The sequence below is a fragment of the Homo sapiens genome, chromosome 9 (genome assembly GCF_000001405.40).
Source record: "Homo sapiens chromosome 9, GRCh38.p14 Primary Assembly".
Taxonomy (NCBI): domain Eukaryota; kingdom Metazoa; phylum Chordata; class Mammalia; order Primates; family Hominidae; genus Homo; species Homo sapiens.
This window is the reverse complement of record NC_000009.12, coordinates 115,251,178-115,271,632: the sequence shown is the minus strand read 5'-3', so window position 1 is coordinate 115,271,632 and position 20,455 is coordinate 115,251,178. Positions and strand designations below refer to the sequence as shown.

General features: G+C 37.9%; 2 long non-coding RNA genes across 2 annotated transcripts in view; one reads left to right on the top strand and one right to left on the bottom strand.

Annotated features, from left to right (window-relative positions):
- The window catches only part of DELEC1 (deleted in esophageal cancer 1), a 260,827-nt gene that overhangs the window by 131,012 nt on the left and 109,360 nt on the right, over window positions 1–20,455 (bottom strand). The window lies entirely within an intron of this gene.
- On the top strand, window positions 9,090–19,098 carry LOC105376233 (uncharacterized). Its single transcript, XR_930267.3, has 3 exons — window positions 9,090–9,241; window positions 17,240–17,448; window positions 18,470–19,098. It is a non-coding gene; the product is annotated as an uncharacterized LOC105376233 (long non-coding RNA).

Sequence of the window (20,455 nt, the reverse complement as noted above, 5' to 3'; positions counted from 1 at the left end):
CAGACATGAGCCACCCCTTTTGGCAGATGCATCTTTAAGTAGTATAAAAGTAAGAGCAAACCAATCCCACAATTAGTAGAAAAAAATTAATAATAAAGATCAGAGCACAAATAAATAAAATTGAAATGAAGAGAGCAATACAAAAGATCAATAAAATAAAAAGGTTTTTTTGAAAAGATAAAATTGACAAATCTTAAGTCAGACTAACAAAAAAAAAAAGAGAAAGAAGACCCAAATAAATAAAATTAGAGATGAAAAAGGAGACATTACAACCAATACCACAGAAATTCAAAAGATCATTAGAGGCTACAATGAGCAACTATATGCCAAGACATTCAAAAACCTAGAAAAAAATTGATACATTCTTAGACATATACAAGCTACCAAGATTGAACCATGAAGAAATTCAAAAGATGAACAAACCAATAACAAGTAATGAGATTGAAGCTGTAATGAAAATTCTCCCAGCAAAGAAAAGCCTGGGACCCAATTGCTTCACTGCTGAATTTCATCAAAGATTTAAAGAAGAACCAATACCAATCCTACTCAAACTATTCTGAAAAATAGAGAGGAGGGGATATTTCCAGACTAACTCTACAAAGCCAATATTACTCTGATATCAAAACCAAACACACATGAAAAAAAGAAATCTACAGTCCAGTATCCCTGGTGAACACTGATGCAAAAATCCTTAACAAAATACTAGCCAACCAAATTCAACAACATGTTAAAAAATATCATTTATCATGACCAAGTGGGATTCATCCCAAGGATGCAAGAGTGGTTCAACATACACAAATCAATTAATGTGGTACATCATATCAACAGAATAAGGGGTAACAAGAAAAAATACGATCATTTACATTGCTGCTGAAAAGGCATTTGAATTTGATAAAATTCAACATTCCTTCATAATAAAAACCTTCAAAAAACTGGGTATAGAAGGAACATACCTCAGCACAATAAAAACCATATATTACAGACCCACAGCTAGTTTCATACTAAATGGGAAAAGACTGAAAGCCTTTCCTCTGAGATCTGGAAGATAACAAGGATGCCTATTTTTGTCACTGTTATTTGACATAGTACTGGAAGTCCTAGCTAGAGCAATCTGACAAAAGAAATAAAGAACAACCAAATTGAAAAGGAAGAAGTCAAATTAATCTCTGGTTGCAAATGATATTGCCTTGTATTTGAAAAGACCTAAAGACTTCACTGAAAAACTATTAGAACTGATAAAATTTAGTAAGGTTGCAGGATACAAAATCAATGTAAAAAAATCAGTAGCATTTTTGTATGTAAGCACCAAATATCTGAAACTAAGATTTCTTGGGTAATACTCTACAAGCACAGACAACGAAAGCAAAAGTGGACAAATGTGATCACATCAAATTAAAAAACCTCCACAGGAAAGAAAACAATCAACAAAGTGAAGAGACAACCCATAGAATGGAAGAAAATATTTGCAACTATCCAACTGACCAGCAATTAATAACCAGAATATATAAAGACCCCAAACAACTCAATAGGAAAAAAACTAATAAGCCCATTAAAAATGGGCAGAAGGTCTGAATAGACGTTTCTCAAAAGAAGACATACAAATGGCAAACAGGTGTATGAAAAGAGGTTCAGCATCATTAATCAACAGAGAAATGCAAATCAAAACTACAATGAGGTGTCATCTCACCCAGTTAAAAAGGCTTTTATCCAAAGACAGAAAATATTAAATGCTGGTGAGGATGTAGGGAAAAAGAAACCCTTATACATTCTTGGTGGGAATGTAAAATAGTACAACCACTATAGAGAACAGTTTGAAAATTCCTCAGGAAACTAAAGTTAAAACTACCATATGATTTAGCAATCCCACTGCTGGGTATACACCCAAAAGAAAGAAAATCAGTGTATCAAGGAGTTATCTGCACTCACATGTTTATTACAGCATTATACATAATAGCTACTATTTGGAAACAACCTATGTGTCCATCAGCAGATGAACGGATAAAAACAATAGGGTACATTTACACAGTGGAGTAATATTCTTAAGCCATAAAAAAGAATGACATTCTGTCTTTGCAACAACATGAATGGAACTGTAGGTCTTTGTGTTAAGTGAAATAAACCAGGGACAGAAAGATAAGCTGCATGTTCTCGCTTATTTGTGGGAGCTAAAAATTAAAACAATTGTACTTATGGAGATAAGAGAGTAGACCACTGGTTACCAGAGTCTAGGAAAGGTAGTTGGGTTGGGAGGCAGTGGGGATGATTCATGGGTACAAAAATATAGTTAGATAGATAGAGTGAGTAAGATCTAGCATATGATAGCACAGTAGGGTGACTACACTCAACAATAATTTATTTTACATTTTTAAATAACTAAATGAGCATAATTAGATCATTTGTAACACAAAGAAACGATAAATGATTGATGTGACGGATACTTCGCCGAAAAAAGAGTTTACAGAGCATCAGTAAAAAAGGTGGCTCTTACTTTTGAGTATCATTCATGTATGTAGACATCGGGATCTGAAGCCTTCATCCTTGGAACCATCTTTGGCTCTGCCATGGATTACCTGTCTGACTATGGGGAAGTGGCTTACCTTTTATGAATCTTGATTTTCTCATCTGTAAAATGGGTCTAAGAGGCATTTACCCTGTAGGGCTACTGTGAGGTCCAGAAAAATTATAAAACAGTGGCTAAACAGAGTAGATAATTACTAGAAAGCAGTGATTATTGGTGAGTTTCATGGTGGTTGTTACTGATGATGTTATTCTTTTTGTTTTTGTTGTTATTTATTACTTTTATTCCAGAAAAAAAATGAGAACATAGGCTCACTGACATGGACTGACTTCTCAAACTAAGTTATAATTATTTAACTTAGAGCCTTATTAATAAAACAATACTGTGTAATATTTATGGGGTGCTTAATCTGTAACAGTTATAATTCTAAGTTCTTTTACATGTCTTACATCATGTAATCCTCAAAGAAACTCTATTTGGTTGTGAACAAGATGTTATTTCCTTAAAAGTTTAGAAGGTTGAGGCATAGAGAAATTAAATAATGTCTTCCAAAAACATAAAAAGCATGAAAATTTGAGCCAGGATTCAAATCCCAGAGGATTAACTCAGTCAACTTTCCCATAGGCACTCAAAAGCTGGAATTATCTACATCACGTATTTGCAAGTTATATTCTGTAGATCCCTGGAAGCCTCCAAACATGGTGAGGAATAACCTAAGAAAGACGGGTCCTAGGGTCCTCATGCCCATTTCAGCAGAACTGCTCCTATTCATTTTATATATAAAATTGTAACAAAATATCTCACTTGAATAAAGTACTTTTAGGGCCAATAAGCATTCAGTAATCCTCAGTCTGGATACAGCATGCTTCATTGGATGGAAGACTGAGCCATGGATTCTGGCACAGTTGGGGTAAAGTGGGAATCCTGCAGGGATGGAGAAGGACCATATCTTGCATCACGTTCATTTTCATATAACTTGTATGACATCTTGCCCTATTTATGTTGGTATTTAAGAGGGAGATTCTTTTCAATTGGGGGATCTTAGAATAACTCATGTATGAAAATCTCTACCCCCTCAGCTGGGTGCTAAACAACCTGAGAGTTTCAGCACTCTGTTTGTGAACAGCAGCCCTGCAGCTAAGATCCAGGAGACCTAAGTCTAATCAAGGAAAAGACAATTTGTACTCCAAAGTTGCTTGGTTGGCAGGACTTGCTAGTGTATGCAGTTGATACGAGTTATAATACATCATCCTTATAATATTCATATGTAGTATTCTTTTTTTAACACACACATAATTTAAAAGTGCTTTCATATACTTCCGTATTTCTTGAAATTTCCACCCAAAATACCCATTTATTTAAAAAGAGAATAAGGATGAATCCTGGGGCAGCTGATGGCTTTAAAGGATTAAGCAACAGCCTGAGCAACATGGTGAAACCCCATCTCTACAAAAAATACAAAAAAAATTAACTGGGTGTGTTGGCGTGCACTCGTAGTTTCAGTTACTTGGGAGGCTGAGGTGGGAGGATCACCTGAACCTGCAGTGAGCCATGATTGTGCCACTGCACTCCAGTCTGGGTGACAGAGCGAGACCCTTTCTCAAAAAAAAAAAAAAAGCAAAAGGAATGAAGGGGTATTTCTAAAGCAGCCCGTCATCATTGCAGGTCATTTATGTCTCATATTATATCTTAAGAAGCCAAAATGGTCACCATATACACCTGCCTAAGGTTCAGATTTTGAGAAATCCATTCTTTCTTCCTTTCATGTGTGATAGTTTTCAAGTAAGCTTTAAAGATTGTGGATGTTATTCTATTTTAGTAAGATGAGGTTTTTTGGTGTTTGTTGTTACTGTTTTATTTTTTTCACTAATTTTATCAGTGTGTTGCCATGAGTGAAGGACAATGAAGAGTCTTAAATGGCCAAATGAGTAGAAATCCACAAAGAGCTCGTCAAGGCTGAAACCACATCATTCTTAAGTTGTCAATCTTTTTCAGGGAGTTTTGTCAACCAAGTTACTTTGTGAATGTCCCGTGTATAAATGAATTAATGACAACCAATTTCACATCATGTGACATTATATCCAAAGTGCCATTAATGAATTCAATGTTCAGTGATTCTTTAAGGAATGGAAAGGTAAGAGTCTCAGGCATCACCAACAGCATACCTTGATCTGTTTATTCGGAGAAGGAAGAATTGATTTCTTTCTACCTGCGCCCTGAGAAAAACAAACACTCTGGCTGGATAATTCTCTCTTGGAGGGTTCTCAAGAGGAGGTAGGAGCCAGGGGGTCTTCTCTAAATTATCACAATCCTCCCCAAATAAAAGCTTCCACATATTATAGAAAGAAGGACCTCAGTTGCCGGCCATTTACTCATTAGACAGATGAATCATTATCTCCCCAAATCAGCTTCTTCCACTGTGTATCAATTTTTCAACAAATAGCACCATTTTGATCCTAAGCTAGACAAATCAAAACTCTGCAGCAGACTGAGCCTCCTCAGTCTCTACCATCCAAATCCAATTTCTTGTCTAGTCCAGGAACTCTAACATATAGATTCTTCCTTCAGTTGTGAGCAAGCAGGAATAGTTGGTTACTCTATAATTCCCTTCCAAATATTCTCACCCAAGTTCTTGTCTTGGGCTCTGCTTGGGGAGGCAACCCAAACTAAGATGTATGAGTTATGCTGGAGAGTAAGTCTTGCTGTTAGTACTTTGTTCTCCATTCTCTCCCTGGCTTTTCCAATGTCCTTCATTGACTGAGTGATTGCAGCTTCAAGCTGTTTTCTTTGCCTGCAGGCATGATCTTCCTACACATTCCCCAGGCTGTAGCCAGAATGGGATGTTTCAAGCATTACTTGATAATTTATTCCCCTGCATAAGTGCCACAATAACTGCCTATTACTCAATCCAGTGCTTTACAAACTTTTTAAACTGTGGAAACTTTTATTCAAGTGATAAGATGTAAAAGATAAAATTAGAACCACTCTGGCTTAAGTTAAAGAGTCAAAACAATGAGCACTCCTGCAATATAAACATACACACACACACACACACACACACACACAGAGAGAGAGAGAGAGAGAGAGAGAGAGAGAGAGAGAGAGAGAGAATGAAAGTTTGGTCCAGAAAAAACTCTTGGAACCTTCAGAGAATTAAAGAAGCATGGTTTAAAAATCACTACCCTGTGAAAATAATATCTGAGCTTTTAAAGTTCTTAAATAAGATGCAGCAGATTTCTCTGATACTCACTTTATTCCCTCAACTCACCTGTAATTGGAGTTCTCCCTATGGTAGACCATTCCCACTCACCTGATAAGGCCAAGACCCCTCATCTAGGACTGCAATTTGTCTTTCTAAGTTTTGCCCCAGAACTTTCTTCACTCATCCCAAGTTGGCTCATGGTGCAGGCAGACGAAACCCAGAAGTGCTTCTGGAGTCAAAGCCTCTGGGATGAACCCTCAACTCATGATGAAACGAGCTACTGGGTACATGCTTCAGGTACCCATATTTCAGGAGAACAATTCTAAAGGGCATCCTGCATGATTCACAGAGGCCCCAATGAGATGGAGTCCCATTGCCTCATAATGCACCTTCATGATGCTTTTTTTTTTTTTTTTTTTTTTGGCCTGGTGCTTATCCCTTGTTTCTGAATCATCTCATCCTCAGGACAGTTTTCCAGAACATTTCAGTTTTAAAACTGAAAGTCCTGCATCCCAGGACCACCTTCAGCTGTCAGAAAACCAGAATTGTTGGTAATCCTATGATTCCATTACAAATATTCTCACCCAGGTACTTGTCTTTGGTTCTGCTTTTGGGAGGAACCCCAAACTAGAACATATGAGTAGTGTTGAAGAGCAAGTCCTGTGGTTAGAACCACTAGAACTGGCATCAGTGGAAATCTTAGGCATTCATCAACTGTGCCACCAAGGACAAGTTATCCTGCTTCTCTAATCCTCAATTTCTTTATCTGGAAAATTGGATAAAAATCCACCTTTAGTAGATACAACTATTCTTTCACCCCTTTTCCACAGTGAAAGAACTCCCATTACTAGCTGAGCACATGGCTACCCATAATAAATATTACATGTTCTAGTATCTTCTGCAACTAGTTGCAGCAATTTGACTAACTTCTGGACAAGATGCTAGCAAAAACACTGTGAGGAAGCTTCCAGAAAGCTTTCTTAGAACACACCTAGTATGCTCCCATGACTCTCTTCTCTTCCTCCCTGCTGCTGACAAGAATACAAACAAGATATCTAGAACCAGAGAAGCCAAATTTGGGCTATGACATGGCCTGGGGAATTAAGATAGAAGAGCAACAAAACAGAAGCACCTATGTACCTGAAAAACTCTCCTGGACCAGAGCCCTCAGGATAACCCTGAATGCCAGAGTTGTACATAAGAGAAAAACAAATTTATATCTTGTTTATGCCTCGTTATTTGAAAGCAAGGAAATGACAATATTACTCTCAGCCAAATTTGCTTCTAGTTAAGACACAAATTTTTCCATTTTTGTGAAGATTAAGAGATTAAATATGTAAACCACTTTGTATGATGCATAGCACATACTTGGCATTCATTACTGACCACTTCAGTTATGTAGAGAGAGTGATGGGGTGGGAGTAGAGAAGCACATGAGGGGACTCAACTGAGAGTAGTTTTCCATCCCTTCCTGCAATCTGACTCCAGTCAATTTCTCCAGTCTATTCTGACACAATTTTCCCCAGATACACCAAACTAGTTGCATCTCACCATTCCCCAAACATATGCCAATTCTTCCAGGTAGCTGCAATTCTCTTCCCTTTGCCTGGGCTATCCTTTCTCATCTGCTCCACTTGGTGACTCTGATTCATCTTTTTATGGCTCTGCCAAACTCACCTTCCAACACCCCAGAAAGGATGAAGAACTCACTTCTGCGCATCCACAGCACACTGTGCACCACCACCACTCCACATCTCCCTCCTGTACAACATCCATTACATTGGATTCCCATTAACCGTGAGCATTCCCCTGTCTGAAGCTATTTTCTTCAAACATAACTTTTGTCATTTCCTGGACATTAGCTCAACATCTGTCCATTTTTCCTGCTTCATCAGAACACAAGTTCCGAGTCTTACATGCATCTTGAGATTGTGCAACTAGTCCAAATTTGGCTCATACGCCAGAAAATGCAATGTGCCACATCATATTGTGTTATTTCTCCAAAAACATGTTATATCTGAAACCTAATGAGTAATGCCTCTGAAAGCTTAATGAGACATTCTAAAAGAACCAAAATTCTGGAAATGCCCAACCTTGTTCAAAAGATTTGTTTTTAGAAGGAATCTTAGGAGATGATGATAAGTGGCCTACTTATCCATCTTGGTCATGTAAAGTAAATCACTTCAGAACAGTGAAGACTCTGCTCAAAGACACATAGGTAGTCAAACTCAAGGGTGAATCTGTAGCCAGCATATTCTGATGCCAATGATAATACCACATCATAAGTCTGCCTGCAAGGCAACCCACATCATCATCACATAATAACAATAATGATAAGAATGACAACTGGAGCTAATATTTATTAAACACATACTAGATGCCAGAAAAAAATGCTAAGCACTTTATAATGAGTATTTCATTTTGTTCTCACTTTATATACATATATAAGGCATGAACTCTGTCTCCATTATATATACAATGAGATCTGGAAAGCTTTGAGACTTGCCTAAAACTACAAAAGGAGTAATTAGCAAAGTGGGAACTTGAACACAGATTCGTGAGGCAGCAGAACAAGAGCTCTCACCAACTTGCCATAATGCATATCCCTGGATGCAGTGTTCAGCATCAATTTAGCTTTCATTTTTAACCTCTAGGAAGGATTAACAGCCCCCTCCTTTGTGTTCCCACAGTGCTAGGTACACCCCTCTATTAGACCACTCATCATGTTATTAGTTTAAATGTCTGTCACATCTACTGGTCTGAGTGCCTCTTGAGTCATGCTTATGTTATGTATCTTTCTATGCCCAAGGCCTGGTAGAATGGCTTATACACAATAGTCATTCACTCAATTTAACAAATAATAACAGGCATATAATAAATGCTTCTTGGATTGGTATAAGGTGTATTCTCTTCACCTGTAGAATGGGGACTGCTCTCCTATAAATAGGGACCATTCCCATTCTTTGATGCCAATGAATGTTCAGGGCTTCAGGAGCCAATACATGTGTACAACTGGCAAGAAACATATTGGGAAAATACTACCCTATTATTACAAGGCACCATTGAAAAGGGAGCAAAAATAAAATTCCTACTCTCCTAACATGATCCAGCTGCAAGAGACAAGTTGTCATTACACTAGTGGAAAGTTATTGCCTCTGGTCTGGAAACCAGCAAACTGGCCTGAAGGCACAGGATGCAGTCTTCATTGCCTATCACTATAAATGCCAACCACACTGTGCAAACACCATTGTGTCTTACCACCAGGTATGCAATCAGTGTCTGCTGGGCAGATTGCCAGGCTGGCCATCTGTGTTGTGCTTGGTTGCTAGGGCACAGGCAGGGAGCTGTGTAGTGTCTTGCTTTCACCCTACCCTCAAAAGCCTGAAGCAATGACAAAGGCTGTTCAAAGTGCTGAGGAACCAAGGAAATGTACATATTTGGCTTAATTCATAAAACTGTCATTGAAGGCCAGCTAAGAAGACGAAGATTTTTGTCCAGGATCTGCAGCTGTGAGACCACAGGTTAGACATTTATTTCTCTGAACATGTAAAGTCCTCACTTGTAAGTAAGAAAGACCCAAAGCTAAGTGTTTCTTTGGGAAACACTCTGTGTTTCACTGGCAATATGTAAAATGTTTATGGGTACTACATGGACAAACTTCTAAACATTTCAGCAGTTATAAATTATTGTAATGTGCACTAGAAGATAATTATCATCTCATACACTTGATGTCACATAAGTTCTTAGAATGAATGTAAAGTAATTCAGTTTTTACAGTTGTTCTTAAGTTTTTATGTTATTTTCTCAACATAAGAAAATATTAATACCAATGGAGGGGATAGGTGGATATGATGATAACTATAAAGATGGAACAGAAATGATGAGTTGGATGAGTCAGATCTGGCATTCTAGCATTTGACTCTGTGATTCAATCACCAATGACTAATTGGCAAAATTATCCAGAAAATTCAGGCAATAGTAAATTTATTCTGAAAATGACTCTATTTATATAGGCCCAGTATATCAAAACAAACACTTTTGAACACTTACAGGATATCAGGCACTAGGCTGGGCATTGTGGATATGAAGACCAATCTTGGCAGAGTCTAACTAGGGATACATCTGGGAAGATAAATTATTCCAGTTTAGTGTGATATTTACAATAGTGTGAAGTAATCTGGGAGTCAGAGAGAGAATACCCATTCTTCCTGGGGGAGAGGAATAGTTGAAGTCATCACAGAGGAAATAAATATTGAATTAAGCTTAAAAGACTAAGCAAACATTATCTGAGTATATAAGAAGGGGAAGACCTTCAAGGGAGAAATAAAAGCATGTGAAGTGTTGAACAGCAAATCTAATGGAAAAATTATTTTTTCTTACTCTATATATCATTTGCAAACAAAAGCATCTATGTAACTGTTTTGTACATTTCATAAGTGAGAGATCCAGATATTGAATAAAGTTATATGCAATTCCAACCCTATGTTCTTTCTACTATATCATATTGATATGGTTTGGCTGTGTACCCACCCAAATCTCATGTTGAATTGCAGTTTCCATAATTTCTACATGTTGTGGGAGGAACCTGGTGGGGAGGTAATTGAATCATAGGGGTGGTTACCCCCATGCTGCTTTTCTCATGATAGTGAGTGACTTCTTATTAGATCTGATGGTTTTATAAGGGGATTTTTCCCCTTTTGCTCAGCATTTCTTCCTGCCATTACGTGAAGAAGGACATGTTTGCTTCTCCTTCCACCATGATTGTAAGTTTCCTGAGGCCTCCCCAGCCATGCAGAACTGTGAGTCAATTAAACCTCTCTCCTTTATAAATTACCCAGTTTCGGGTAGTTCTTTATAGCAATGTGAGAATGGACTAATACACATATCATATTTGCTATTCATATCAGAAACCTCACCAATATATACCCATTAATGGTTGCTATGGTTTGAATGTGTCCTATAAAATTCGCATGTTGGAAACTAGCCCAAATGTAACAGTGTTTCAGGGTGAGACCTCTAAGAGGTATCAGGTCATGAAGGATCTGCCTTCATGAAGGGATTAATGTTGTTATTGTGGAAGTGGGTTCATTATCACCAAAATGGATTTGTTATAAAAGTTAGTTCAGACCTCCCTTTCTCTCTTACATGAGTTCACTCACTGTGTGATGCTTTCCATCACGTTATGATGCAATAAGATGGCCCTCACCAGATGCAGCCCCTCAGTCTTGGACTTCCCAGCCTCCAGAATTATGACGAATTCCTTTACTTTATAAATTATCCTTTCTCAGGTATTTTGTTATAGCAGCACAAAATGGACTAAAACAACGGTATTTCCAGCTCATTTATTCTTAACCCACCAAGCACGAAATACTAATCACCAAAAGAAGGAATAATGAGATCTTTTTAAAAGCCGGTATCCCCAAACCAAGGCAATTTTTGGACTTTGTATTATTTCTCCATTTAAAAGAATCTGTAGAATAATTTCCCAAAACATTTTGAATAAATTATTTTAGGCAGAAGCCACAAAGTTTCAGAAAGACTCCCCCATGTTCTCTTGCCAGTTATACATAGACACATTCTTCAGAAGGAAGGATAATGGAAAGATCCAATCCCTGGAGAAAATTTTAATACAAAGCAGGAAGGAAGCATTTGGACTTTTGATATGGAAGATGACATTGATTAATAAGGCCGTAACATTTGGAAAGTCACAGCTGGGGAATGCTCTATGAGAACTTCACTCTAGTAAGGACATTTAATCCAATCAACAGGACCTCCACAATTCCTCCTCCGTCTCTTTCAAGTTTTAATTTGAACAACCAAGACAAAATGCCACAAATTCTCTACATTTAACTTTTAAAACAAAGGAACTAATTTTAAAATAATATTGCTACATTTTTGTTTTCGCTATACATGTATCATCTAATGTATCATCTATTCTTTTTTTTTCTTTTTGAGACAGAGTCTTGCTCTGTCACCCAGGCTGAAGTGCAGTGACCTGATCTAGGCTCACTACAACCTCCACCTCCCAGGTTCAAGCAATTCTTGTGCCTCAGCCTCCCGAGTGCCTCAGCCTCCCGAGTAGCTGAGATTGCAGCTGTGCACCACCATACCTGGCTAATTTTTTGTGTTTTTAGTAGAAATGGGGTTTTACTATATTGGCCAGGCTGGTCTCGAACTCCTGACTTCAAGTAATCCACACACCTTGGCCTCCCAAATTGCTGGGATTACAGGCATCAGCCACCACACCCGGGCTACAAGTATCAGCTATTCTAAATCAAACTAGATATAGAGTACTGACTATGGATTGGAGTGTTTCACCTGTGGGACTAGAGAGAAAACTGCATGGAAGCCAAATATAAAAAATGTTGACCTACAAATATAAAAGAGCCAGGGTGGAAGATAGCAGTTTGTGTTTTCTCATAAAAAAAGAACAACTTTCACTTAAGGAGATAATTTGACAACTGAAAACTCAATCTAGAGCATGTTATTATAAAAAAATACTATGAATTTTGAGTTAAGCAGACAGGATTTTAATTCCATGCTGCCATTTACTAGCTGTATGATCTCGAGACTCTCTTGTGTCTCAATTTTCTTATATGCGGAATGGGACTTGTCTTAGTCCAGTTTTTGTTGCTATAACAGAATATCACAGACTGTATATTTTATAAAGAAAATCCATTTATTTCTCCTATTTCTGGAGGCTGGGATGTCCATATTTGAGGGTCCAGTATCTGGTGAGGGCCTTTTTGGTACATTATCTCATGGTGGAAGGTGAAATGGTAAGAGCTTGCAAGAGAGTGAGAAAGTAAAAAGGGGCTGGACTCACTTTCACAACAACCTACTGGGACCATAACAAACTCACTGCTGCAATGATAAAATCAATCTATTCACGAAGCCAGAGACCTCATATCCTAACCACCTCTTAGTAGGCTGCACCTCCCAACACTGTTGCATTGGAGATTAAGTTTACAACAACTTGGAGATTAAATTCCAACTTTGGAAGACACATTCAAGCCATAGCAGGGCTTGTAGTATATACCATAAGGATTCCTGGGAGAATCATGGTACAAGTTCTAAGAGTACTTGGCAACAAAAAGAGTTACAGTGTATGCTAAATAATTGTTAGCCTTCATGCTCAATTCAGTTCAGTTGACAATGACATTTGGTTGTCTGAAGGAAGGTAAGGTTGCTGGACAGTTTATATCTCTTCATCAATAATTTTATTTTGTTTTTTGATGTACAGTATATTATTAAATGTTCTATCTTCTTAATGCTGATACTTAATTGGTTCTTACTCTACTTATCTTGTATGTAGACTACTTTCTAAATTGCCTTCTCTATTTCAATATTATTTTTGTTAGTTCTTTCTGATTTTGTAGATATATCTTATAACCTAAAATAATGATTATGCCTTTCTTTCCAAAATTTGCCCCTTTTCTTTCTTTTATTGGGTCTTGTCCTCTTGTTGGATTTTAATTAAAATGATACAAGCTAAATTTTCTTTAAAATTAGTTAAGCAATATAGTGACATGACTGGTGCTCTAGGTTTTTATGGAGATCACTAAGCAGACAGATTCTTATTGCCTTTTCCCAAAAGTTGCAACTGCCAACATCATATCAAAACTGCACCAGATCTGTGTCACTGGGAAGAGACCAATTCTGGAGTGGCAGAAAGAATCCACAGAGCAGAGATGCTATTTCAGAGAATGATTGAGTTTTGGCCCAGGAGATTGTGTTCTACGACTTAGTTGAAGAGAACTCATGTGTAGGCATATCTGCCATCTTGGATTAAAGGAGTAAACAGCCTCAGGTCTTGAGACAGACAGCTTCCTGGCCTCTGCTATCATGTCCAATACACAGTGTTGTCAGTAAAATTAAGAAAATTATTCAGGTTCATGAATCAAACTCAGCATACTCTTCAGAGAAGTAGGGCGCACACCACAATCCATTCTCACAAGAAGAGGCATTTCAGAGGAATGAATTTATAACTTTGAATTCCTCCTGCCCTGGAAGAATTTAGCCTTTTATCTTCAATTCCCCATAACCTCTGGACATATTTATCCCCATACAGTCAGCAGAGATATCTTTACAGCACCCATATATGACCAACATATGTATCATTATTAAATTAACGACTCATACTTTTTATTCAAACATGAACACCTCTATCACCACCCTCCTTCAGCTTTTGGCATTCCAAGTCTTTGCACCGAATTCTTTGTCTATAATGGCTTCTCCTTCTTCTGTGATGTCTATGTATAGCAAACTTCTGGCTAGTTTAGGCAATACCTCACGCAGACTTCCTCTGAGCTTATACTGTGTCTTGTGTCTTCCTTATCATAGAATTTATTATAATATTTAATTTGATCTCATTAGGCTTATTTATCTCTGTATTCCAGCTTCTGAGAACTGAGCCTGGTGCATATAACCATTATCTGTGTTTATCAGTTAGGTTGCTTTCATCAGCAAATAACAGAAAACCCCATTCAAATTGGCTTCATTAAAAAGAAAATGTACTGATACAAATAATTGAGGGTCAAAAGATAGAACAGGCTCTATCTTTGATTCAATGCTACAGTTCTGGCTCAGGTGTGTGTATCTGTGTGTCTGTGTATGTGTACATCTGTGTGTATGTTTGTATGTGTCTGTGCCTGTGTGTGTGTCTGTGCATGTTTGTGGGTCTGTGGGTCTGTGTGTGTGTCTGTATCTATGTATGTCTGTATATGTGTCTATGTGTGCTCTGCCTGTCTGTGTGTTCTCTGCCTGTCTGTGTATGTGTCTGTGTATCTGTATCTGTAACTGTATGCCTGTGTGTGTGTGTCTGTATGTGCTCTGTGTGTGGGTGTTCTAGATCTGCTTATTAAAAGTACCTAGAAACACTGGCACCCCTCACCCAATGGGCAGTCTTGGTTCTTGCTTTCTGTATATGCTTCTCTACTAAAATAATGATTACATAAAGTAATATGTAAAATAATGTAAAATGTAAAATAATTTTACATATTACATAAAGTAATATGTAAAATAATTTTACATATTACATAAAGTAATATGTAAAATAATACATAAAATAAAGATTACATAAAGTAGAGGAACAACTAAAGAGTATTGATGGTTCCAGAGCTGAAGAAAGGAAAGTCACTTATCAAGATAAGTGATATGGTTTGGATCTGTGTCCCCACCCAAATCTCATGTTCAATTGTATCCCCACTGTTGGAGGTGCAGCCTGGTGGGAGGTGATTGGATCATGGGGTAGAGTTCTTATCAATGGTTTAGCACCATCCCCTCTTGGTACTGTATAGTGACAGAGTTCTCACGATATCTGGTGGTTCAAACGTGTGTAGCACCTCCCTGCTTCTCTTCCTCCTGCTCCGGCCATATGAAGTGCTGGCTCCCCGTTTGCCTTCTACCATGATTATACACTTCCTGAGCAAATGCCAGCCTCATGCTTCCTGTACAGCCTGCAGAACTGGGAGCCAATTAAACCTCGTTTCTTTATCAATTACCCAGTCTCGGGTATTTCTTTATAGAAGTGCGAGAACAGACTAATACAAGACACCTGGAATGTTCTGTTGTATGATAAACCAAGGAATTGCTGAATGAATGATGGTAACAGGTGGAGACGCCACTGGAGCCAGTTTGAAAGGCACCACTGGTCAAGTCTAGAACAATTTGAGTATCAAAATGAGGAACGATATTTACAGGCTATAATCCATTGAGTTAAAAAAGAAATCCATTCATCTATACCAGTATAAATACATAGGATAGAAGGAAAAGCTCCAACTTACAGTAGAAGACATGAATTTACCCACAAAATGCAATCTTATTAATCATTAATTGATGAGTACAAAATACCTATTAGCTAACCTCATAGTAGAGAAACCTTATAGACACCTTTTAACCAAGTGATAAAAGTTAATATCTCCAGTAATGGTACAAATTAGCATTTGGTACTTAACAATATGATGCCATGAGAAGAATATTTGGCTAATATTTCTATAAAAAGCTCATAGATCTTGAAGAATCATTATACAAACCTATACTGAGAAACATTTAACAAAGTAACAATTCTGCTCTGTTTAAAAATGTCAGTCATGAAAGAAAAGGAAAGACTAAAGAATTCTTTCAGACTAAAAGAGAGTAAAAAGACATGGCAACTAAATCAACACGTTACTGGAATGGATCCAAGACATATAAAGGACATTATGGGGACAACAGAAATTTCAACTGGATGTATGCATCAGGCAGCATTATTGGGTCAATGCTAACTTCCTGATTTTGATGGTTGTACTGGCGTTATGCAGGAGAATATCCTTGTTTTTAAGAACTATAAACTGATGTAACTTATTTGCAAATGGCTCAGAAAAAATAGTATATGTGCAGTTGGGTATGTACAAAACAGAGAGAATGCTAGAAAAAGAAGTGGAAAATTGTTAACAATTGAGGAATCTGGATGAAGGGAATATGGGAGGTTTTTGGATTATTTTTCAACTTTTCTGAAGAGTTTAAATTTTTTCAAAGTAGAAAGTTAAAAAAAAAAAAACAGAATGAAGAATAGAGATACAGATGTTGCTTGGAAACCAAAAGTGTTTATGATAACATACATCTCAGACCTCAGAAGTCAGACCCTACACTTCTTTGGGCGTCCAAATTATAGGTGCATTATTCCTCAAGCTACTCAATGAAAATTCATTCTTTTACCAGTGCTGCACCACACTTCACAAAATATCCCTGGGAATCTTCATGACACTTTAAAATTTTCCACAACTCTCTCTTGGTTGTCGCCTTTTGTATAAACCAGGCATGTATCTCCAGACAGCCATCTGTTCTTCTACAGGTCGCCCCTTGCTCTACTGAGATGATTTCACTCAAGTGGCAGCTGTTACCCTTCGTAATCTTCCTGTACAGCCCCCTCACCTGCCCATGAGATCACTGCAATCCTAGATTGGCTGGGCCCAGCTGTCCTCCACGTGGCTGCAATGGGCTGGGAGTCTATAAGGCTCTTCTTTTGGCTGCTGCCTCCAAATATAGCAAGCAGTTATTTTGAAAGCCCAACCTCAGAGACAGTTCTCTTCTCCCCAGCTCTCCTGAGATCCCTGTAACTCTGAATGCAGCCCTAAATGACTTCCAACGGGATGGGGGAGAGACTTTTTTTTTTTTTCCCAAAAAACAAGGGGTAGGTGCTTGCTTTGTATTTATAACAGAAGTTGACTAACTATACCCCAGGGACTAAATCCAGCCTGCTGCCTGATTTTTTATGGTCTGCAAGCCAAGAAAAGTTTAAGCATTTTTCAATCATTGAACAAAGGTCAAAAAAATAATAAAATTTCATGACCTATGAAAATCATATAAAATTCAAATGGCAGTGTCCATAAAGTTTTGTTGTAATAACAGCCATGCTTTTTGGTTTACATATTGTCTAGGTCTACTTTCATGCTATAATGAAGTGCTGAGTAGTTGTGACAGAGACCACCTGGACTGCAAAGCCTAACATAACATATTTTCTATCTGGTCCTTTATAGAAAGTTTGTTGACTCATGACCTAGATGACTGCAAGAGCCTACAATGAAGTCCCTCTGCAAACAGAAGCAAAAGGCACAGTCTGCTCCTCCTAAAGCAAGTCCACATCTCTACTCCAGAAAAGAGCAAACTATTTACAACTATTTAAATACAGCCTTTTCATCTTAAAAATTACATTAAGTTTCTGGAATTCTGATATACCCAATTCCAAGTAAGCATGCTTTGAGCTGAATTGAGCCTTTAGGAGTTGGAATATTTGGGACCTAGTCCCCAACCAAGTCTTCAGGACTTCTCAAATAATTAATTCAGGCCATACAAGAGATTTGGTGAATGATACAGAGCAGTAGAAGTCCCATAAATGGGGGAAAGAGAAGACATAGGGGTTACAGGAGAGGAGAGAAGGGTATTGTTAGGGAAGTACATGAAGTCATAAAGTAGCACTTACTGAAGACCTGGGATTTTCTAATTAAGCCCAAGCAATTCTCCTGAATTCAGTTCAATTTATGGGTTCGTATGCTAAAGAAAAAAAATATCAATTCATCTTGATACTATTTTGATCATTATTTCCACAGGAAAGATTTCCAACATTCTTATTCAGATTGAATTTCATAGTAAAATACCTACTTCAAAATTAATGCCCATATGATTTTTGAGTAATTTTTACTACTTATACTTAAGGAATATTTTTATATTGTTTTCATTGAAATGGAAGTTAAAATAATCCAGAAAGAAGAAATTTAAATATACTGATAGCTGCCACAATGCTAAAACCCTCAGCTGAACAGCCACAAAGAAAGGAATACTGCTAACAACCTGAATGGGGTTGGACATTGATTCTTCTCCAGTCAAACTTTCAGATGAAAACACAGCCCAGCCGACACTTTGATTGCAGAGTGGGAATCTTTCCTTTTGCACCTCTATAGTCAGTAGGGCCTAGGATATCATACTCAAGGGTAGTCAGTTTTTGTTTACTGAGTAAATGTATGGTGCAAAAAGCTGTTGGCTTAAGATCTAGACCTTAAGCAGAGAACTAACTAAGTCTTTGCTTACACTTCTAATCCACAGAAACTATGAGATAATTGTGTTATATGTTAGCTGTTAAATTTGTGGTGATTTGTAACATAACAATAGAAAACTGATATACTGGGCAACATTATTGTCTCAGTTTGGGTTGCTTAACAAAATACCATAAACAAGGTAGCTTATAAACAATAGAAATTTATTTATTACAGTTCTGGAGGCTGGCAAGTTCAAGATCAAGGTGCCAGAAGATTTGGTGTTTGGTGAGAACCCACTTTCTGGTTCCTAGAAATAACAATTTCTCCCTGAGTCCTCACATAGTAGTGGGGATGAAGAAGTTCTTTGGGATCTCTTTTATAAGGGCACTAATCCCTTTTATAAGGGCTCCACCTTAATGATCTAGTCACTTCCCAGACGCCCCACTTCCAAATACCATCACATTGGGGATTAGGTTTCAACATACAAATTTTAGGAGGACACAGACATTCAGACTGTAGCAATCCCTTGTGCCCATTTGTTTTTCCTTTAGGATGGTCATTTTCTGCTGCTATGGCCCAGTTTGTGCCTTCAAGGACTGACTGTGTAAAAAAGAGCCCAGAAACTCTTTGAACTGACTTACAGTAGCTTCTTCAGCAGTCAGCTGTAACGATGGCTGGAGCACCTGGTACCTGAGTGAGGGCCAAGAATGGGCTCTGCATGTGCCCTCCCTCAACAATTGCCCACCACCCATTCTCACACAAATGCAGTGGGGGATGAACCTGTAGGGATGGGTAATCAGCCTGAAAGGAACAATTTTGCATATGTGTAAAATCTGAAAAAATAAATTATTATTCATGGGAAACATGCCACTAATATGATAGAGAAGAAAAAGTTTGATATTTGGTGTCTGAACATTTGGGTGTTTCCAGACCTATCTCTGCCATTTACTCTATGATTAAGACTTCACGACATAAGTTTTCTGAGTCTCATCTTCCCACCTCTTAAAGGTGCCTAATGACAATACCTGAAACCACTTTGCCATAAAACATTTACTGCATATTGTCAATGCATACTAGGTATGATACTAGGCACCAGCAATATAAAAACAAATGAAATGTGGCACCTGCTCTCAAGACTTGAAAGAAGCTATAATGTAAAGCATCGAACTACAGGAGAAAAGTGGGAATCTTTCCTTTTTCACATCCATAGTCACTAAGGCCATTTGTCGACTGAGCAAATGTATAGTACAGAAAGCTGTTAGACTAATATCTAGTGATTAAACTGTACTTAAGGGAGAGAATGGCCTTTAAGTAGCAAAAATCTCTCATGGGTTATTTTGTTATTTAAAAGTGGCACTGGCGAGGGCTAGGATAAAACAGTTAAACAGTTTTACCCAGGAAATAAACCACAATATTGGAGAAGGAGGTTTAAAGTACTAGAAAAGAGAGAAGGAGGAAGAGAAATAGTAAGAATGCAGGCTGAGCTGAAATAATTTCCATGATCAGCTGTAAAGTTGCACACTTTTACATGCATACTCTGATGTTGGATTGTCAGTAAAAGTCTGCTATCCACAATTATTATCTTTGAGTTTGGGGAAAATAAATTAAAAGGAAATGTTTGCCAATCATTGATGAATGGCAGTGGGAGAAGTGAAGAGATGGAGAATAAGAGAGACCTGAACCAGGGCCGGAATCCCTGGAGTCCTCATAGAACATTATAGGACATTGAGATCCCACCATCTGTAGAATAGGGTTTTAAGCCAATGTATACCTTAATTGTGATAAACAAGGGGATCCCTGCAAGCTGAAGATCCAGGGAACAGGTGGAGACAGACACAGAAGAAATGAGGAAATTAATGAATAAAAAGTCAAGAGCATGAGAGGAAGGTAGACATGACTTTGAAGGAAAGTCAGGCAAGAATGTATGGTTATACTCTGTTGTCAGCAGGGAATTACTTTATAAAGTAGAAAGAGAAGCCCAAAGAGCATCTTTTCCCCAGGGTATAGTCAAGAGAAGAGAAGAGATGGAAAGCCATTTGGAAAAAGTGATGGGGAATTCAGGCATCGGGTCAACACCAAGGTAAGTGGGAAGAACTCAGTGGGCCTGGCATTGCTGGCATAAAGAGAAGGTCCCTGAGGGCAGAAGGACACCTTCCAGACAGACCTGCTGTTTCTCCAAAGGGGTGCTTGCTTCACATCCTTATATATTTTTTTCCAGTC